The 23,102-nt window shown below is 43.5% G+C and overlaps 1 protein-coding gene across 42 annotated transcripts in view; it reads left to right on the top strand.

Moving 5' to 3' along the window:
• DENND1A (DENN domain containing 1A) overlaps window positions 1-23,102 on the top strand; it is a 550,469-nt gene that overhangs the window by 292,184 nt on the left and 235,183 nt on the right. For all 42 annotated transcript variants that reach the window (XR_007061334.1, XR_007061335.1, NR_148208.2 and 39 more), the window contains one exon: window positions 7,467-7,567. Coding sequence is in view for 39 of the 42 variants with exons in the window: in NM_001352965.2 (NP_001339894.1) it covers window positions 7,467-7,567 (101 nt within the window). In the remaining 3 variants the exon portion in view is untranslated. The remainder of the gene's footprint in view (window positions 1-7,466; window positions 7,568-23,102) is intronic.

Genomic DNA, 23,102 nt, shown 5'->3' with positions numbered 1-23,102 from the left:
GTGTGTGTGCGTGTGTGTGTGTGTGTGTGTGTTTATTCCTTCCCTTTCCCAAAAGATAATGGAGAAGGAAAAAAGTAAGATGAGTTCCACCCAGCTGAAAATGAAACTACTGGAAGAACGATTGTTGCCATTACCCCCTGAAAAGCAGCCCTGCATTTCAGCTGCTAAGAAAAGCAAGACACTGTTTGCTCTTTCCTTCTACTCACATGTCCGGCATCTGTCTAGAGTAGCTGAAGGTTCTTTGATTTCTGAGATGTTCTAAGTTGCCTTTCTGCTAGAGTATCTTTGATAGTTTCTTGAAAGCCTATTCATCCCCCACTAAATACAGTAACTACAATTTGAACATAGCTGAACCCTTTATAATTAAAGGTTTTTCTCACAGCCATGGAAGGGTTGAAATAGGTTGACTTCACAGAGTCCCTGCAGATTTTGCTTAAAACGTTTTGATGATTTTAGAGAGGATTTGTCATTTAAGAATAAATTATAATCAAAACAAAAACCACAGCAGTGTTTGAATCATGGCACCATGATACTACGAAGATGGTTTATAATTAAATAAAAGAATCAAGTTCTCAAACTGAGAAAGGGAACAACTTCCCAAGACACACAGCATTTTCTACAGCTGCTCTAAATAAGATGATCCCTGGTCAAAATGAACAAACTTAAGAATGACCTCCCTTTAAAGTCAGTAATCTGGTATCCTTTCTGTATTTATCATTTTATTCATTTCTTTGCGTTTATGTTCAGAGGGGAAATCCAAATGCCTCTAACCCTGTGAAGCAGGTGTTGGTTTGATTATTTAACATTCTGAATTCTAGGATGGAAAGAATGACTGTGACCATCTGATTGTCTTCCTCTGCCAGCTTTTAGAGCTTGGAATCTTAATACTTTTTCAAAACTGTACAGCCTCTAGTTGTGATCTATTAGGCAATTGCAATTTGTTAAATGTCTGGGGCCGGGCGCGGTGGCTCACGCCTATAATCCAGGCACTTTTGGAGGCGGGCGGATCACATGAGGTCAGGAGTTCGAGACCAGCCTGACCAACATGGAGAAACCCCATCTCTATTAAAAATACAAAATTAGCTGGGCATGGTGGCGCATGCCTGTAATCCCAGCGACTCGGGAGGCTGAGGCAGGAGAGTTGAACCTGGCAGGCAGAGGTTGTGGTGAGCTGAGATTGCGCCATTGCACTCCAGCCTGGGCAACAAGAGTGAAACTCTGTCTCAAAAAAAAAAAAAAAAAAAAGTCTGGTAATCTTGCCTATTCTTCCTCATGGTGTGAATCTGGAGGCATTCTCCATTCCCCAAACATTTACTCAGCACCGACTCTGTGTCAAACATAGTAGGAGGTAAGAAGAGGAATATTTGGGAGGCCGAGGAGGGCGGATCACCTGAGCTCGGGAGTTCGAGACCAGCCTGGCCAATTTGGCGAAACCCTGTCTTTGCTAAAAATACAAACATTAATTGGGCGTGGTAGCAGGTGCCTGTAATCCCAGCTACTCAGGAGGCTGAGGCAGGAGAATCACTTGAACGTGGGAGGCAGAGGTTGCAGTGAGCCGAGGTCCCACCACTGCACTCCAGTCTGGGTGACAGAGCGAGACTCCATCTCAAAAAAAAAAAAAGAGGAATCAGATGTGGTCTTGGTCCTTGAACAGCTCAAATCCATAGCCGTCGTGTTCCTGGTCACCTGGGGTCATCTACATCTGAGTTCTTCAGAGTATCAGGGGCCAAGTAAGGAAGACAGCTGTGCCCTGGTCAGGTGATGGAGATGGGGTGACCTAAAAGTGGTGGTTCCTACATAGCTCATGAATTCCAGCTGGGCCCTGGAGCTGCAGAGCTGAGAAAGCAAGACCAGCTTAAAGACAGACCCTGATTTGCTTCGGCTTAGTACAGGTGAAGAAGGTAAACTGGGGTAGAGGAGGAGCCTTCTTCACTTCAAAGGATAGCAATTCCTCTAGAATTGTGAGTTGTCAAAGCTGGAAAGGAACACAGAAATCTTGTAGCCTAGTCTCTTATTTTACATACAGGACAAATTGAGACCTAGGAAAGGAAGTGGCTTGCCCAGGTCAAAAAGTTAGCAGAAGACTCGGAGCAAGTATGTGAAAGGGAACACGACAAAAAGCAAGACTTTCCAACACTTTCAAGCCAGCCTGTCAGATGTATGTACTCAAAAAGGAATGTAAACCTTTCTCTTTGACTAATAATAATTACTTCATTGTCTAGAATTTCCTGTGGGTTAAAGACACTACAACACCTTAGTTAAATGTAACTAATCCCCAGGAAATGATCAGATCTGTGTTTGTTTTAAAAATGATTATTTTCTGTCATTGGTATTTTGTCCGAGACATTTGGACATCTAGCAGCAAGGCAAATGCATATCTGTGTCATTTAACAATGTCAGCAGGTATTGTTACCTCATCTATTTCAGAGTCCTCCACACTGTGGAAGGCACAGGGTATACACTCGAATACTTTTTGAGTTTATTATGCATTGTGGAAACACAGTGGCCATTATATTCTGACAGACCTGGATGTGAGTCCCAGTTCTGTCACTTACTGTCGATGTGGCCTTGGGCAAGTTATTTCACCTCTGAAACTGTTTCCTAATCTGTGAAATGTGGTGATGAGTGTATATGTGTATCAACACACACGCACTCTTTCCTTTAAAACAATACTTTGCAAGGGTCTAAACCCCAACATGGTACCTACACATATTGTGGTTTTGTCTTTGGAGGGGGCATTCTTATTTTTATTTCACGTCAAGTTGCAGAGCTGCTATTAGGATTCAGCGGAGGCATTGGTATCTAAGATTGTGACAATCTGGGCTTTATCTCTGAGAAATGACTGAAAAAAAAAATGTGTCCTTGTGATTTTTCCCACTCCGTCATTGATCACTCTCCGTTCATGTCCTACTCCCACTGCCTTCTCCTCGTCTCCCTTTGCCTCAGAGAAAACTAATGGAGCCATAGAGAAAGCTCTGAGATATAAATGACCTTGTGCACCTTTAATTGAGGACAGAATTTGCTAAAGTGCATCCAAAAATCCACCAGTGGTTTACTGTACAGTCTGTGTCCTGGCTAGACTGGCTGTTGGCTGTATAATTTGTCTAGTTTTGTCTGGAGTCTTAGGCTATTCAGCTGCTTCAGGGCAAAATCTTTTGGGGTGTCATTAAATGAGATTGATAATTGGCTTCTGATGAATATTCATTGTGACTAATGACTTTGGGCAAATTTTACACATACTATCTTTCCATTCTCTCACTGAGTGAGATTTTGATAGAATCATTTCCTTCAACTTGCACTTCAATTATATATTTACAATATCCCTTTGTTGACTACACTCCAAATTACATACTTTCATTACTTTTAAAGTTTGTATTCTGTAAGGAATGAACATAGGCCTTTAGGACTTTTATTTTTAGAAACAGAGTTTAGAGTTATTTTAAAAATAAGTGGCAAGTGATACTTTATAGAACAGAGTGCATTATTTCTGATTGAGTATAGATATATAGTAAGTCTTGTAATCAACTGACTGTCCTTAAGTAATGATGCACATAGTTTATGTCATTTAGTATTTTGGAAAAGAGCCAAATAATTCCGTTTTGTTTGTTTGTTTTCTTAATCAAATGAGTAATGCATTTTACCCCGATTGCAGAAATTTGGCCCTTAGAAAACCCACTAATGAAATGAGCAAACACCTTAAAAGCTTGATTTTTTGTTTTTTTGTGAAGGATAAGTAATTTTAAAATCTTGGCATTGAGGTTGGTGGGTTTGCTTTTGAGGTTAAAAAGACATGAAAAGAACATTATCTGAAGATGAGATCTCTGCTACTTTATGTTTAAATAGGCTTTTGACCCAAACCAGTTTAACCTAAAAAGAGTCACATAATCAAGTTCTGTCTTAACCAGGTTCATTCTATTAAATGACTTTTTCAAAGAGAATCACAAATTAATTCATGTGATGATGTTACCTTCATTTGTATGGGACCTTGTAGATTTTGAAGTGCTTTTATTTATTTATTTATATGTTGTGGAGTTAGAGAGTAGGCATATGATTGAATGAATGGGCGAATGGATGAATGAATGACTTGGTTTTCCAAAAGTGCCATGCTTGTGTGTCTAAGCTTGCTGTTTTTGTTTTAGACATTTTTTCCTTTCTTTCTTTTTTGGGGGGACAGAGTCTTGCTCTGTTGCCTAGGCTGGAGTGTAGTGGTGTGATCTCAGCCCACTGCAACCTCTGCCTCCTGGGTTCAAGCAATTCTCCTGCCTCAGCCTCCCGAGTAGCTGGGACTACAGGCATGTGCCACCATGCCTGGCTATTTTTCTGTATTTTTAGTAGAGATGGGGTTTTGCCATGTTGGCCAGGCTGGTCTTGAACTCCTGATCTCAAGTGATCCGCCCACCTCAGCCTCCCAAAGAGCTGGGATCACAGGCGTGAGCCACCGCACCCAAACTGTTTTAGACTTTGAGTCATGTACCTTACTCTGTGAGACTCATGGGAATGTTGATACACTTCTGTTAAAAGCCAAGTTACTAAACTGTCTTTGTACTGTGAGTATATTCTAAGTAAAAATCATATTTTATTTATTCAGGACACATCCCATTAACTAGTGCACGTGTGTGTGTTGTGTGTTCTGGGCCACTGAGAACATGGAGGTGAGGACAGGATCTTCCTGTACTTTACAGTCAGGAAACAAACATGCAGCCAGTTATGGTCCAGTTAATAATGGGTGCCTATGGGCTGGGTGCAGTGGCTCACGCCTGTAATCCCAAGACTTTGGGAGGCCGAGGTGGGTGGGTCACTTGAGGTCAGGAGTTTGAGACCAGCCTGGCCAACATGGCGAAACCCCGTCTCTACAAAATATACAAAAATTAGCCGGGCATGGTGGCACACACCTGTAGTCACAGCTACTCAGAAGGCTGAGGCAGGAGAATTGCTTGAACCTGGGAGGCAGACGTTGTAGTGAGCCGAGATCGTGCCACTGCACTCCAGCCTGGGTGACAGAGTGAGACCCTGTCTCAATAATAATAATAATATTATTATTATTATAATAGGTGCCTATGCACAGGGAACCAGGGAAGACTTTGAAGAGGAAGTACTTACACAGAGACCTGAGGGAGGAGTTTGCTAGAGGCACAAATCCAGGCCAGTTTGGGGGACGGGTGGAAAGGGATGGGAGGAAAAGGAGTACATGACTCTATCTAAGTGATGTATTCCAAGGACAGACTTGGAGAAGATGGTACAGAGTGTGGCTACAGATGGCTGCTGTAAAGCTAGACCGTGGGCTGGTGGAGCCATCCGGGCCAGGCTTGTCCCCAAAGACTTCTGAGTAGGAAGTGATGGGCCGGAACCTGCACTTGAGGAGGAGCGCTCTGGCAGCTAGTTAAAGATGAGCAGAAAGAGCTGAGACCCAGGGCCAGTGGAACCCTCCAGCCTGACTTCAGGGTGGAATCAGGTCAGAGTTGGTTCATTCTCCACTCACTCAACACCAGCAAGGACTTTTCATCTCTAAGAAGCCCTGAAGGGATTAGTTTTATATATGTGTATTTTTGTATGTGAGATATATATATCTATATCACCCTCCTTTATATGGGTACCTATGGAAATAGAATGTGAAGGGATGGGTTAAACCTGCGAGCCTTGACGGGGTCACTGGGAACTGTTCTTGGGTGCCTGCTGAATCAGTTCCAGTTCATGGCATGGACCTGGCTCAAGAACAGGGTCTGGAGGAAAGAGTCAGGGCAGGTGGGGGTGGGGAGTAGCAGCCCTGGCTTTAACACACAGCTCTCACAACTGTGAAACATCAGCAGAATATCCAATTTAAAGCTGTTCATGTTACACTAACCTCTGGGATTCTTTTAACTGGGCCTTGGCACGTCACTCTTTCGCCACGTAAATGTTCTTCTGTCAGCAAAGGCCAGTTAACAGCTTCCAAAAGAAGCAAAGTCCTCATGGGAACAGGCTTCCCTGAAACCAAAGAAACATTAAAGAAAAAAAGACAGAAAGAAATATGTGTTGTTGGCTTTTGTCACTTCATACCTATATCTCCAAAAGTTGTTTTTTTTCCCTTTCTTTTCACTATATTGAATTTTGTAGCAATTGTATCCCTTTGTAGTATCTTTGTTTCCTAAATTTTTAATTGCATCAAATACTGATTGTATGATGTCTCTAGCTCTCAAGAAAAAAAAGGAATACAAAATAGGGGCAAGTCAAAAGACTGTGGAGAGGAAGGATTAGTCAGTAAACAGTGCCAGAGCAATTGATTACCTATGTGGAAAAAATAAATTCTCACCTCAGTCCTTAAACCTAAAGTAATTCCAGATGGACTGAAGAGTTAAATGCTAGGGGAAAATTTGGAGGACTTTCTTGGGATAAAAGCAGTAGAAACCATCATGGAAGAAAATATTTGTCTACGTAATTATTTAGACCTTCTCTTTGCCCAGAAATTCAAAGAAAATTAAGGATAAATTATTTTCAAAACATTACAAAGGCTGGGTATTCTTTGCATTTCATCAGTGATTGCTTATAAACCAGTAAAAATTACTAATACTCATTTTTAAAGTGGGCTAAGAATATGAATAGACCATTTGTCTATTATATAAATATAGTGAAGAAACATATGACAAAATGTTCAACCTTAGTCCTGATCAGAATAAAAATAAAAGTAAAATAGGTACAATTTTAAAGCTACTAACTTGACTACAAGGAGTAGTGCTGGTGAGGGGCAGGGAGGCCAGAATCGTGGTGTATGGCTGGGGGTCGGGGGTGTAAAGAGCCTCCATCCTTCATCTATTCATTATACTAACATACTTATGAGATATGTATTTATTAAGTGCCTTCAAATGTTTATAACCTTTGTCTCTGAATTCTACATTTAGGAACTATAGATACAAATTATTGACCTGTATGATGATATTACTTAATGGTAGTAGAGTAGCTAAATATATTAATAGCATGGGAAATTCATCGAGTATCATTAAAAGATATTTTTTCTAAGAATATTTAAAGAATATTCTGGATTTGTGCCTTTAAAGCATCATTAAGAGATATCTTTTTCTAAGAATATTTAAAGGAAAATGGCATCAAATAATGTTCACTTTTAAGAAACACAGAAGAATACTGTATAGTCATCCTAATTGTATTTAAAAGGGGAATATATGTGCTTGTGTGTGTAATAACCTACAATGTTAAATCTTCTGATGGTGTGGCATTTATTTTAATCCCTTTCACCATTTTAAAAATTTTCTATTTCGTATATTAGCTTTATCATCAGAAAAAAAGATTTTTTGAAAAGAAAGCTCTTACTAAATTTGAATTAGGGTGATTGAGTTAACTTAGAATGATTTCTCCAGGTTTTTCAGCTTATCATGTAAACATATTGAAGAATTATAGAATTGTATTGCTGAAATCAAATGGCGGTGTCTCCTCCCTTGGATTTGTTCATTGATCTCTGCTTTGCTCTGTTCCAGCTGACTGCCTGCATCCACGGGTCTGCGGCGATGCTCTACCCCATGTACTGGCAGCACGTGTACATCCCCGTGCTGCCGCCGCATCTGCTGGACTACTGCTGGTAAGGTGGCTGGCCCTGTCCTCTGCTTCTCCTTTGCCCTGATCTGACTGGGCGTGTTAGGTGTGTCACTTGTTAATGCAGTTGGTGACTCTACATTAAAAATATTAACTTCATCCAGCCTGGACAAAATAGTGAGAATCCATCTGTACAAAAAAAAAAAAAAAAAAAAAAGCCAGTCATGGTGGCACATATCTGTAGTCCCAGCTACTCAGGAGGCTGAGTTGGTAGGATCATTTGAGCCAGAGAGGTTGAGGCTATAGTGAGCTATAATTGTGCCACTGCACTCCATCCCGGGCAACAGAGTGAGACTCTGTCTCAATAATAATAATAATAGAAATACTAACTTCTAAGTGGCATGGATTTAAGACCACCTGATTGCACGGCCCTTTCATTTCCAGTTTTCTTATATGTCATGACACTCTGAAGAGTACAAGAGAATAGGTAGTAACTTTTCACATTTCTCAGTTTGGGGGAAGCAATGCACCAAAAGGTTGCGTGTTTGTTTGTTTGTTTTTTCCTAAGACAAATTGTAAACTGGGGACAAAAACAATTGAGATCTCCAAGGTCTTCAAGTTTCAGCCATGCCCTGGCACATTCCTTAAGACTTGTGCTCACTGTGGTTTGGGAGCACAAGCCAGGCAGCGCTAAACTGTCTGAAGTTCTTTGAGGAGAATTTCACTGTTCAGTGAAACAGACTTTAGTAGAAGGAAGAAACAAAGGTTTTGGCGACAGCCCTACCATCTTGGGCAAGTCACTTGGCTTTAAGACTTTGTTTACTCATCTGTAAAAGGAAGTTGTTCAATACATAATCATACAAAGATGAAACAAGATAACATATGAAAGGACCCCATGTAGAAAAGCTGGCTCATGGTAGCTCAGAAAATGTTTCCGCAGACACATCATCGTCCTCACTATCTGTCTTCAATAGATTACCAAAACAGACTGTCTTTGTGACCGATTTGGATCCCTTTTCCTCATGAATAATTTCTTTCTCTAGTGTAATGCAGTTAAAGACATTGTCTCCAAACAGTTCAAGTCAACAGAAGTCCGTAAGGGAGCATGGTACACAGACAGGGAAAGGCACTAACTGCGTGCCGGATATTGAGAGCTTCAGGAGAAGGGAAGCCATTTGAGGGTCATAGCCCTGTTGCTTAAGGACAGATGACACGGGACACTGACCACTGGTTCGGAGTGATTGAGTCCAGGTCAGTCATACTTTTGCTGGGATCTCCATTCCATTTTGCAATCATCTCACTGGAAAGGTCCACCCAAGTAGCCAGATTGTCCAAGGAGCTTGAAGGCATTCCACAGTCACTCCTAATTGGAACGTGCTGGGCTCACCCTCTTCCCAAGAGGCCATGGAGATAACAAGGACATAACTCAGGGACATCATGTGAAAATCAGTGGCCCTCTCTCATGCATAGCAGTAAGTGAATGGGCCTGATTCTCTCTTTATTATATGTCTTTCTTATCAAGGTGAGTTATCTTATTTGTGCCTTTCTCCCACCTCTTATGAGATTAAGGGGCAATATGTTTTCTACCATGTGGAGTATAGAATCCTGGCTAATTTTGAATTTCTTCTTGATTCATCAATGGCTGAACCCCACATTTTTTTCACTGTGTCTCTTCATACTTTGGTTTATTTTGGAAACTATTTTCAGTTAATGGTGACGTCCAGGTACTGCTGGTCTAGATTTTGGTGTTCATCCCTTCTTGAGTGGGTAGGAGATAAAGTAATGTTTGCAGATAGGAAAGGATAAGGATGTAAACCCCTTATAACAGATTCACCATGTGACATTAAATGTTTGCGTTTGCTCTGTTCCTCAGGGAGTGTTTTCAAACCCCTGGGCCCATTCCAGACCCCTCCCCTGTACCCAGGTCTCCAGCCTCTCTCCTTCCATTGGAGACTCTAGGGAGTGCTGGACTCTGCCCTAGTGAGGCTGCTCCTTCTGCTCCCAGATTGTTAGACTCCTGTCCCCGCTGCCATGGTCTGGTGTGAGCTCTACCCTGTCATCTGGCTTCTAGCACAGCCCCTAGGAACCTTCCTCCCTCCCATGTCACTGTCATCTGCTTGTCTCTGGGATCTTCATCACCTGTTTGTTGAGATGTCCACATCTCCTTCCCATCTTATTCCCTGCTGTCTTCAGTGGCTTCAGAATCCACACTACTGGCCTCCCCTTATTCCCACTGAGCTCACATTTGCACTGTTTTGCCATCTATAGTGAGATTAATTTACTCCCTCAGAGAGGCCATGGAGTAGCACACACAAGGATAGGACGGGGCTAAGAGGAGGACGCCTGAGTCCCTGTCTCTGCTCCATTACTGCCTGGCTGTGTAGCTTAGAGCAAGTGCCTTTGCCTCTCTGAATCTCTTCTCTGTTGAGGGCTGAAAATACTGCAACCTGTTCTTTAAACTGTTTCTAGGATGAAATAAAATAACGTATGTGCTAATGCACTTTATAGACCGAAAAGCACTATCAGCCACCCAGCAGGGTGACACCTGTGTCATTAACCGTCTGAAGCTCACTCAGCCCCCTCTGGTTTCCTGCTGGCCTCCTTGCTTCAAGTCTTTGTGAGCTTGCTCTCTCTCTCTCTCTCACTCGCTCGCTCTCTCTCTCTTTTTTTTTTTTTTTTTTTGAGACAGAGTTTTGCTCTGTTGCCCAGCCTGGAGTGCAGTGGCACAATCTGGGCTCACTGCAACCTCTGCCTCCCAGGTTCAAGCGATTCTCCTGCCTCAGCCTCCTGAGTAGCTGGGATTACAGGCGCGTACCATCACACTCGGCTAATTATTTGTAATTTTAGTAGAGACGGAGTTTCCCTTGTTAGCCAGGATGGTCTCGATCTCCTGACCTCATGATCCACCCACCTCGGCCTCCCGAAGGGCTGCGATTACAGACGTGAGCCACCGTGCCTGTTGTTGTGAGCTTTTTCAGTAGAGCAGATGTTTCCCGATGCTGGCCATGTCTTAGGCACTGCACTAAGTGCTGGGAAGACAGGGATGAGAGTCAATTTCCAGCAGAAGGAACTCAAACAATTGGGTGTCGAAGACACAGGCCCATAGACAGGCCAGAACTGCTCCTGGGTTTTTCACCAGTTCCCTGCAGGCTGTTGCTTCCCTGGCCTTGCCACTGACCCTGGGCACCCCTACCATTTTCTTATCTGCTCCTTGTCTGGAAGATACTGCTGGTGAAAGTCTGAGAGCCTTTGCAGAGAGGACCTGCTAGAGAGTGGTGCTGCCTAACCTTGGCTTGCCCTCCTTCTCTGCAGTCACCCCTGAGCCCTCACTCTCCCCACCATGCACAGGCTCAGGGATGGGGATGCATTGTCACATCTGGCAAGAAGAGGGGGACATAGGGTCTGTGTTCCCACAACTGCCCTCCTTCTCACCCAAGGCTGGTGCTGGTTAATTGCTGCCTGTCTGCCTCTTCCTCTCCTGCCATTCCTGAGGGAGGAAGAGCAGTCTGTCCAAAGCCATTGACTTCACCTGGGCCTGGGTGCTGTCTCCTGAGGGTTCTCTGGGACCCATCTAGAACTCTGTTTTCTTGGGTATCATTAAACACCCCTTTCTGCTGCCTCCCGCCTCTCCTGCACATGTGCTTAGGTGCCCCATTCCTCAGATTCAACCTTTCCTTAAACTCCCTGTGCTTGAGCTTCTGAGCCAACTCTCTTGGTTTCTTCTCACTGCCATATATCTCCAAGGAAAGGACCAAAAGGACCCTGTTTACTATCCAGTAGTGTTTGTTGTTGTTCAAATGAAAGCTTGAGGGCTGGGCAGAGGCAGACACTGACACTCAGAGAGGAGGAAGGAGATGAGGGGAACTAGAGGGGAGGACAAGGAACAAAACACACACCCAAGGAAGATGGAAGGGAGAGAGAGAGTGAGAAAAAGCAGGAGAAGGGAGAGAGAGAGTGAGAAAAAGCAGGAGAAGGTAGAAAGGAGACACACATCACCCGAGACAGAGTCCTGGAGTGACATCCAGCCCCCTTAGCATGTAGAACCTGCTGCCATCCCCTCTCCCCCCAGACACACAGTACGCTCACAGGAATAGACCCCACACAGACGCGCCCACCTTCATAGACATAGGTCCTTTCCCCATAGACATGTCTCAGGGTCTTCCACAGGGAGAGACACCCCCCGCCCATACACACCACACGCCAGATGTGTGCTCTAAAAGGTAGCCTCAGGTCAAATGCGGTAGCTTATGCCTGTAATCTCAGCACTTTGGGAGGCCAAGGCAGGAGGATCACTTGAGCCTAGGAGTTTGAGACCAGCCTGGGCAAATTGTGAGATCGCCATCTCCACAGAAAAAAAAAAACAAAACCCAGCCATAGTGGCACACAATTGTAGTCCCAGCTACGCAGGAGGTTGAGGTGGGAGGATTGCTTGAGCCCAGGAGGTCAAGGCTACAGTGAGCCGCAATTGAGCCACTGCCCTCCAGTCTGGGTGACAGAATGAGACCCTGTCGCACGGTTCCCCCTGGAAGAGATTCACCAGTGGGTTTTCATGCCGTGCTTCAGGGAGGAATACCCGGGGCTTCTGCAGGGATTGGTAGAGCTGGAAAAATCAATATAGTTCCTCTGCCAAGTGGTAGTATAATTTTATTTTTTAAATATTTGTCTTATTTTATTTTATGAGACAAGGTCTTGCTTTGTCACCCAGGCTGGAATGCAGTGGCACGATCTTGGCTCACTGCAACCTCAGCCTCCTGGGTTCAAGCGATTCTCCTGCCTCTGCCTGCCTAGTAGCTGGAATCACAGGTGCATACCACCATGCCTGGCTAATTTTTGTATTTTTAGTAGAGACAGGGTTTCGCCATGTTGGCCAGGCTGGTCTCTAACTCCTGACTTCAGGTGATCCACCTGCCTCAGCCTCCCAAAGTACTGGGATTACAGGCATGAGCTACCATGTGTGGCCCAACTTCAGCTTTCTATTATTTGAAAAGTTTTGGTTGCTAAATTGTTAGCTAGTTTAAAACAGGCAGCTTACATTCCTGGAACTGTGGAGGGGAAAATGCTCTGTCAGTAACATAAGTGATGAAGATAGCTGCCACTGTTGAACACTGGTCCATCTCCTTTACATCTGTGATGGCGTTGAATTCTTCCAACAACCCTGCAAGGCAGATACTATTAACCCCATTTCGCAGATGATTGGTAGACCAAGGCCCCAAGAGCTTTAGTAACTTTTCCTGATACAGACGTTATGTATTATACTCTATGATCAAATTTTTATTAAGAGAATTATATGGACACATAATACACAAAAAATCGGATGTATATATGTATACATATAGAGAGGCAGAAATCTGGAAAGAAATACACCAAAATGTTTAACAGAGACCCGTGATGGGGAGGCGGGAGAGGATTTCTGCATGCTTTTTATTTTCCATATTTTCCAATATTTCTACACTGAAAAAGTATGGTTTTTATAATTAAAAGCTTTATTTTCACAAATCAGTGTTTTTTCTAGCCAATTGTTCTTCCCAGCTGCCATTCATTTCTCCTTTCATGTTTTCTTGGAGATACATTAGATGTTTTATTTTCCTGTGAAAGCTGATCCAAGATCATTTTTTCAACCTTCTCTAACTCTAGCACTCTGAAAAACTGTTACCAGCCTGACCAAGGGCATTGATGTTGGAAGGTCTAACTTAGAAGAGAAGACTTGGCAAGGAAGGCTGCTAAGTCCTTGTCATCCTAAATTTCCACTCCAGAAAATTAAGGTTGAGTTTTGTATTTACTGGTGCCTGAGTGAGTTTTGAGAGGAGGCACCATCTTGGAAGTTTCTGTTTCTGTAATAGCAGTCTTTCTCCTGGTCTCTTGTTTCCGTGAAAGAACTTTCTGACATATGACCAAAGGATGATTACAGGCCGGTGGGGATTGGTGTCTGTTTGTTAACTGTAAGATGTAAGAATGATGAAATGAAAGACTCCAAGAGAAAAAACACAGCTTCCATAATGAAGGGTTGATTTGACCACCTTCAGCCACTACCACTGCTTTGGTCAGATACTACAAATGTCATGAAATTTGAGTCAATGCTAATAACTTCATTCTATTATGCCCAGTAACTTTCACCACCATTGAGTTTAATCCTTGGTGGTAAGAGCCAGCAGGGATAACTAGCATTTTAAGTAAAGTGCTAGGAGCCTGAAACATGTAAATTTGAAGGAGGTTTGCTACTCTGCAGATGATTTAAATGTTAAGTATGTCCCCATGCAGGGGATACACAAAAAGGAATCTGAAAACTATTATCTCCTGTAGAAATGAACTCTCAATTTACTCACTGCACAGGAAGGGCGGTTTCTAGTCATTTTCACTGCCAGCAGGTGCCCTTTCTATGCATAATAGACTTCACAAGTGTAATTAACACATGAGGACCACTGCTGCCAGTTTTTCTTCAGGTACATGCTGCTAGGAGTTTTCAGGACAACAGTGTAGGCCATAAGAGCTTTTTACATGGCGCCTGAAGATGAAGTCTTCGTTGACTTCTGGACAAAGACATGTTAAATGGAGCTGAGCCCAGACCCTGCTGTTGGTATCACAGGTCACAGTCATTGAGTCCAGAAACCCCAGAAGCTGTATTGCAGCTTTCTGTGGACCAGAGGCCATGACAGCAAAGCTCTAGTTTGCATGCAGTTAATAAATGAAAAGTAGGATACTGAAAACCCTACCATTATGTGGAGGACCAATTGCGCATTCACAAATACGACATACAATCATCTGAGTTAACTTTAATTAGAGCTATAATCACAGATTTTAATTATCTGGAAAAAATCAGTTTAGTACAAATGGGCTGCCCTAAATATTTCTCAAATTATTTTTTTTTGTGTCCCTTCCTATTTTTGGAGTGGACAATAGTGTGGAAAGTGCCTAGGTTTTGGATTCAGGCAGACCTGGATTCAAATCTTAGTCTTATCTCTTATTAACTATGTAACCATTAAAAATCTGTTTTAACTCTGTGATCTGCAATATCTTTCTGTAAAATGGGTATAACTTACCTACTTTGAAAAGTGGCTATAGCAATTAGAGTTATTAGTCAAGTGGCACCTAGGGGCCATTAGTAAATGATGATTGCTTTTTTCACCATTATTATAAACATGGGACATGGATTTTGGTTTCCAGAAGGTTTAACTCACATTAAGCATTATTCTTACTTCTGTTGCCTTGAGAGCTCAGGGGAAAACTTTATAATTCATCTTCTCTTTTTATCCCTCAGATTGTTTTTATTTTGATTTTTTTTTTATTTAACTTGAGTTATTGTATGGTTGTTTTCATTTGCAGCTGTGGCATAAGAATGAAAAGAAAAGAAACAAAAGCAGATGGCAGAGAAAACGAAAGGAGTAAGACATTTCCAGGCCTTATGAATATTTAAAAACATGTGCTGCTGGTTCCTTTCTACTTTAGATCTGTGCCATTCCTTTGACTTTGAAAGTGAAAACGAGAATGTTCCCTACCTTAGCTGATGGTGGCCTTGACCTTGGCCAGTGTTGGGAAAGCCTTCCTGTTTCTGGGAGAAAAGCATTAACTTGCTAATGAGAATCAGCATTCCCTTTCATAATAATCACCATCTATTGAGTACTGTGTGTGTGACAAGCTCTTTATAAACATTATTGCAAATCTTCAAAATCAAGCTGCAAGGTAAATATAGCTCCATTGTATATATTAGGAAATTGAAGCTCAGAGAGGTTTAATAACTTACCTACTGTCACACAGCCAAGAAATAGTGGAGCCTGCACTTGAAATCCAAGGCCATCTGATATTAAAGCTTTCCTTACTAATATCCTCTGAAGTGTTAGAGAATAAATTGTGCCCATCACCGAGATTTTATGAAAAAATTCTTCATGTCAGCTTCTTGATGACTTGCTAATTGTAGACGTATGTTGTCATTCATTAATTATGCATTTATTCAGCAAATATTTATAGAGCACTTATTATGTACCAGGCACTATGCTAATTAAATTTTGCTAATAAAAGGTCCCAGTAGAAACCATATGGTATTTCCCATGTAAATTTCTTTTTCCCCCTTCCTCCTTCAGAAGTAGTCCTAAATAGGGACCACAAATCAATTCTCAACTTGAATTGTATATTTGGTTTATTCTAGGCACTTATTAACACACATTTGTGATAAAATATTTTCAAAGCAGATCAAGACAAGCTCATGCTTTTCCCCCAAAGGACAGTCAGGTCAAAAGCCAAGTTAGTAGCTAGCTCCTGATGCTTTTTGAGGGCATTGTTGAACTGAGAAGTCAAATAGGATATGTACAGTGAAGGTTTCGATTTTACATTTGACTTTGTAAAATGCCTCATATTTCTTGGCATTTCCAGATGACTCTGGAAGCCGTTCTTCCTCTCAGAGTGGGGATGCTCAGATCTCTCTGAGAGATGCTAGTTTCAGGCCCTTTGTGTGCTGTATGTAGGGTTCTGAATCAGCCCCCACATGGTGCATCACATATTCCATGTAGGATTTTCAACAAAAGATGCACAGTCCACATAGGCGATGGGGCATCAATCTGGACACAATTCTGAAGTAACATCCAGTTAATCAGATCTGCGTCGATTCCAATCACTGTCTTCATCGGTGCCATGAAATTTTGCATAGGAAATAGATCAATGCTAGATTAAGTGGAATTGTTGATATTCTTGATGGCAGGGACAGAACTCAAATGAAAGTGTGGTGCGGCGGAAGCAGAAATGTCTGGCCCTCACCTGGCTTCCCCATTTACTAGATTGGAGGTCACTGAGCCAATGTTTTCAGGTGGAGGTGAATAGTGATTACTACTGACACAAAGCAGGTGCTCTGTAAATAGTAAATACTATCTTTGTGTTATTCATAGCTATATAGCTGTATATATAGTCAATATATATTAATGTATCTCTGGTGCTAAGAATTTCAACTGAGGCCAGGTATGGTGGCTCACACCTATATCCCAGCACTTTGGGAGGCCAAGGGGGTGGATCACTTGGGGCCAAGAGTTCAAGACCAGCCTGGGCAACATAGTGAAACCCCATCTCTACTAAAAATAGAAAAAATTAGCTGGGTGTGGTGGTACATGCCTGTAATCCCAGCTACTCAGGAGGCTGAAGCACGAGAATTGCTTGAACCTGGGGGGTGATGGTTACAGTGAGCCAAGATCGTGCCACTGCACTCCAGCCTGGGCAGTAGAGCAAGACCCTGTCTTGGAAAAAAAAAAAAAAAAAGAATTTCAACTGAATTTTTTTTTTGCATCAACTAAATATATAGACTTAACACACAGAATGGAAGTGGATTAGATGGATAGTTGTGGCCAAAATTCTCTTATGTATGCCAAACTCTGGGCTTTCTAGCTTTTGTTAAAGATTGGGTTCCAGTAAGTAAGCAAAAGTTGTATGTCATTGCCATTTTGCAGCAAGTGCTTATGAATACTTACTATATTCCTGGCAGTGGGCATAGGAAGATAGGTGGACATAGATGGTTCTGGATCTGAGGAAACACTACTTCACCAACGAACTCAAGCATCCAGTCAAGATATGGAGAATAGAGATATTTTTTTTTAAGCTAAGAAGCAGCAAGACGCCAAGAGTGGAATGGTGCCACTGTGACAGAGCTCATCTGGGAGGGGTGGGAGGGGATAAGGACCAGGAATTTAGTTTCAGACAGAAGAGGAAGGGAAGCTGGGCTGTGGTGGGACTGATGATTAGGAAATGCACACACACATACACAAATGTGTGTTGATTTAATGATCAGAAATCATAGATTACTAGTTAGGTAATTCCTCAACTGAGATTTGGCTAAACTTGACCCTGAGGCTTGAACAGAGAGGCCAAGTGAGAGAAAACAGTTCAGATTTGGAAGTCAAAGTCTTGGGTCCAAATCCTAGACTCTGGTCCTACTAAAGATGTGACTTTGAGTGAGTCACATCTCCTGCCTGAGCCTCAGTGTCTTTTGCTAAGTCATTGCCAGGGAGATAGCTAAAAACATTGCTGTACATGAGGAGCCTGGCACCAAGTAGGCAGCTGGAAAAATGTTTTGAGGTGATAACAGTCACTGAGCCCTACACTGAGATGCACCTTCATTTCCTTGAGCAGCACCCAAGACTGAATGTGCCAAGAGCCTTGTAGGGAAGCTTTGGATGATTTCTTTTTTCCTTTTTTTCTTTTTCTTTTCTTTTTTTTTTTTTTTTTTTTTTTTTGAGATGGAGTCTTACTCTCTCACCCAGGCTGGAGTGCAGTGGTGCGATCTCAGCTCACTGCAACCTTCGCCTCCTGGGTTCAAGCAATTCTTCTGCCTCAGCCTCCCAAGTAGCTGAGATTACAGATATGCGCCACCACACCCAGCTAATTTTTTGTATTTTTAGTAGAGAAGGGGTTTCACTATGTTGGTCAGGCTGGTCTCAAACTCCTGACCTCAAATGATCCGCCCACCTTGGCCTCCCAAAGTGCTGTGATTACAGGTGTAAGCCACCATGCCCAGACTGGACAATTTCAATGTGAACTGTTTTCCAGGTGGAAAAATTAGGTAAAGAAGAGACTGGGCCCTTTGTATTATCTATGTTACAGATTCTGTGCTGATCTCTATACTGAAGACTCTATAGGAAAACTGTCTTTTCAATTTCTCTGCTACATTTTTTAAGTTGAAATTTAATCCACATACCACAAAATTCACCCTTTTAAAAGTATACAGTTCTGGCCCGAACTGCAGTGGCTCACACCTGTAATGCCAGCACTTTGGGAGGTGGGCAGATTGCTTGAGCCTAGGAGTTCGAGACCAATCCTGGGCAACATGGCAAAATCATGTCCCTGTAAAACAAATACAAAAATTAGCCAGGTGTGATGGTGTGTACCCGTAGTCCCAGCTCTCTGTGAGGCTGAAGTAGAAGAATCACCTGAACGTGGAGAGTTGAGGCTGCAACGAGCTGTGATCACGCCATTGCACTCCAACCTGGTCAAGGAGAGTGAGACTCTGTCTCAATCAATCAATCAATCAATCAGTCAATCAATGTATGTATACAGATCAGTGGTTTGTAGTCTATTCCAACTATCTAATCCACTATCCATCTAATAGATATATCACCACCACTAATTCCAGACACATTAGATTTTTAATACAGTCTATATTGTTAGTAAAGTAATACATTCTTATTATAAAAAACTTTTTTAGGCTGGGTGCGGTGGCTCATGCCTGTAATCCCAGCGCTTTGGGAGGCCCAGGTGGGTGGATCACCTGAGATCAGGAGTTCAAGACCAGCTTGGCTAACATGGTGAGACCCCGTCTCTACTAAAAATGCAAAAATTAGCTGGGCGTGGTGGCGTGTGCCTGTAATCCCAGCTACTCTGAGGCTGAGGCAGGAGAATCACTTGAACCTGAGAGGTGGAGGTTGCAGTGAGCTGAGATCGCGTCACTGCACTCCAGCCTGGGTGACAGAACGAGACTCTGTCTCAAAAATAATAATAAGAAGAAATAAAAAACTTTTTTAGCCTTTTAAAGTACATATAGCAAAAAGCGAAAGGTCTATAAAAATGGGTTAGTCTGTGTAGATGGTTGCCATTCAGCCTTTAGCCCTGTCCCTCTAGAGGCACCCCGGAAGGCACCGATGTCAGGAGTATAGCGGGACAGCTCTCACTGGCCTCAGCAGTGTCACTCCCAGCGTTACTGAGACTTTCAGGGTTAAAGAAGACAAGGTGTCCCTTTAACACAGGAGTGACCTTCCCACATAGGGGAATGGTGCTTGTTGGCTCAGCCACCCACCCTTTGGGGAGCTGTCTGGACCACAGCCTAACCACCTCCTGGCTACTGTATCTGCCTCTGAGCCTCTGGACCTGCCCTGCCGCTCCCACCTTCCCCAGCCCCCTCCTTCTGCCTAATGTCGGGAGGGGCAACAGCCCGCCTCCCCTGCCCTAGTTTCTGCTGGCCTCCATGCAACGTTGCTGGCCCCGACTCCTGCCTACCTGCCTGAGCATTGGCCTGGTTTTCCATTTCTCATGACACATTCTGTACGTGAGTGACACATTCCTCATTCCTCCCTGATTTGGAGCCTGGCTTGAACCCAACACTTAGAAAACTCTGGACATTCTGGGGCACAGTATAGGGGGCTCTATAGCAACGACACTCTAGATATGTTCCTGGGAGCCATAGTTCACCCATAAGGCAGAGGCCACAGACCAAGTAACATCAGGGTCACAGGAAGTTTCAGCAGTGCAGCAAGTGACCTCATGGCAGGGCTTCTGGAGATAGTGTGCCTGCCTTTTTCAGGTGCTGGCACCAGGGACAGTATGTGCAGCACCAGCATAGTGATAGGCTCTGAGTGACCTCTCAGCAAGTGCGGGTTCGTCTTCCCTTTAAAACGTGATGAATGGAAAGGCGAGGCTGCAAAGGTAATTGGATGCTATGCATCTTGGCACATGGGATGAGTCCTGGAAAAACAGCAAGAGAAAATCTCCTTTTATTATCAGTTGCGCTATTTTTTTATCCTTTTTTTCTGTTACTTTCTCTTCATTTATTTCTCCATAAGCCTCTTTCTCTTTTTCTCTTATTTATTTTGTGGCTCATTCATTCATGTGTTTCCACAGGCTCTCATGGGCTGCTTGTGGCTCACAACTTGAGACTTCCTTTCCGTGTCTGGCTTTAGCTATTACGGTTCTCATTGAATTCTCTGTGGCAGCAGAGAGCCCTGTCTCCTGACCTTTGCTCTGTGATTAACTTCTCCTGCCGCAGTGGTCTTAGCCACGGAGCCCTTCCTGATGTTTTCCGAGTCTGTCGCCTTCCGGTAGGCCAAGGAGGCTCAAAAGGGCGGGCTACCCCAGGCTTTGATGTTGACCTCTCCAGAATTTTGTCCAGGTGTTATCTTTGTAACTCATGTGTTCATTTCTGTTGGGTCCAGTGGCTTGGGGCTCTAGAAGGCATCTCCACCACCCCCACCTGCATAGGTTACCCCAGGAAGCCACAAAGCCACACTCAGAAGGGCATTGTCCTCCCTTTCCCAGTCACTGATCAGCTCCAGTGATACACGTGTCTTGCATTAGCAAACCATCTCCAGTGCCCACTGGACATCAGTGCACGCTGAGCTCACCTCTGCTGTGGCAGGGCCCCGTGCTCTTGCTGTCGAAACCACAAATGGAAACTAGGCCATCTCTGCCTTCTCCCCTAATCTAGAATTATTCCTGGTCTCCTCATGGATCGTCATCCTCTGTTGTTGCTCATAAATCGGAGAGGGCTGGGTTGGAAACCAGGAAAGACATTAAATACTTTTTCCCCTAAAAAGAAAAAAGCTTGCCTACCTCATGGCAGTTACCCCATACTTTCTACTTCTCACCAGCTGTGACCTTTGTCGAGTCACTTAACCTCTTTGAGCCATGGGTTCCTCTGTGAATTATGGGGACCCACCTTTCAAGATTGCTGCAGAGATGAAATGAGGTCATCTCAGGCCCTTCCGTTGTGTACCCGACAACACCCTGTGCGTCTCCTTGTAGCGGTTTGCGCATATGCAATAATGCGCTTATTTGATCTGCCATTAACTGTGAGCTTCACATGGGGACCAGATCTATTCTATCCTCTTGCCCCAGGCCAGCATGGTGCCTGATATTAGTGATACCTGTTGACTGACTGACTAACCGGCCTGTGGAAAACACTTTTCCCTCCCCAGGAGCCTTTTGAAAATTCAAGCTCCTGGGTGGCTGGTTTATTTTTCTCCTGTGGACACCACAAAACACCTCACAGTCTTGTTTCCCTTTTGGGTTGGTGGCCAGAGTGCTCAGAGCCAAACCTGTGACCATCCCAGCAGGTGTCCCAGCATGAAATAGAAACACTAACCTTGCCACAGCTTCCTTTTTTTTTCCCCTTAGCTCCTATTTCTTTTCATACTTTTGTTGCTATGTTGCAAATATTCATATAAATTGCCTTAAATCCCGCTTAGAACAGAAAAGAGTATCAGTCAATTCCAGCTAGTAAGGCAAATATAGTTTTATTCTGACTATGAACCCACTAGCTATTTTACTTTTTTAGCTATAATTATCCAGTAACCATTTTTTGTCGACAGTAGCATAATGGTTAAGAGAAGTCACTAGCAAGTAAGAGTAGCGTAAGAGACTTGGAAGTAGAAGGATTTGGGCTGGGATCACCATTAACTGGGTGATCCCATAGGCACGTTTTTGAGAATACCTTTTTAAGTCTATAAAATGGCCAGGCACAGTGGCTCACGCCCATAATCCCAGTACTTTGGAAGGCCGAGGCAGGTGGATCACCTGAGGTCAGGAGTTCGAGACCAAGCTGGGCAACATGGTGAAACCCTGTCTCCACTAAAAATACAAAAACCAGCCAGGCGTGGTAGTACGCACCTGTAATCCTAGCAACTCGAGGGACTGAGGCAGGAGAATCACTTGAACCCAGGAGACAGAGGTTGCAGTGGGCCAAGATCGCACCACTGCACTCTAGCCTGGGCAACAGAGCAAGACTCTGTCTCAAAAAAAAGCTATAAAATGGATGGTGTAAATTGGATTATTTGAGGATTAAATGAGATAAGGTGGCTGGAGCCTCCCATGCAGCCCTTGAAATGTGGTGTGTGCTCAGTAAATAGCTCGACTGTTTTACCCTTCCTGCTCTGCACATGGCACCATGGGAGGCTCTGGGAAACAGGATTCTGTGCTTTTGTGACTGACAATCTAGAGTCACCCTTCAAATCAGCACATGCTTTATGCCAAATGGGTAACCCGGACAAAAGCCCCTACCAAGAGAGGTGTTAGCCACCACTGGGCAATCTGAGAGGCAGGCAGCATGGCTTCAGTAGGACTTGAAGAAATAGTGAAGCTGAGGCCTGTGGGGCCACCATGTGACTGAGATGAGCTCAGAGGCACTTCAGGGACCAGAAGCTTCCTGTGATGGAAAAGGTAGCAGGGGAGGAGGAGCTCAGACAGAATGTAGAAGCTCCTAGGTCTTGTCACAGCTGCAGGCCAGCCCTTAGGGAGCAGGTTAGAGAAAACCACCTAACCTCCTTCCTCTGCAGGCTGTGGGAATGCTGGTCTCCAGGAAATAAGAAGCTTGCTTGATCCCCGTATCATGGGCTTGGGTTCTAGTCCCAGTTCTGCCACTTACTAGCTGTGTGACGTCAGATGAATGATTTAGCTTTTCCAATCTTAGTTTTTCCATCTGTGAAATGGTAGTTCTGATAGCACCCTCCTTATGCTGCTATGGTGAGAATCTAATGAGGAAAATGCCTTAGCCTATGCTGGCTCTTGGCAAATTTGCAGTCAGTGGTGGCTGCTCTTACTGGCTTCCTCTCCTACACTGGCAGTTACATTAGCCTGAAGAGCAGCTGTCTCATCGCTCTCACTAAGCCCAAAACCATGATCATTCGCATTCTCCAGCAAGATATGTTCTCTGGTGTCTGTTCTTTTTCTTTTTCCCGTTCTCTTGTCCTTTAACCTCTCTAATAAAGCCAGGCTCATTATTTCGAGCAGAATTTAAAACCACAAGACAATCTGTGTTTACACGTTTGTGTCTTTTACAAAAAAAGAAAGAAAAGCTCACATAAGACCTCCTTCAGAGTTTTTCTTTCTGACTGTGGGATCCC

This window comes from Homo sapiens, chromosome 9 (assembly GCF_000001405.40).
Source record: "Homo sapiens chromosome 9, GRCh38.p14 Primary Assembly".
NCBI classification, from domain to species: Eukaryota; Metazoa; Chordata; class Mammalia; order Primates; family Hominidae; genus Homo; species Homo sapiens.
This window is presented reverse-complemented; position numbering and strand designations above follow the sequence as displayed.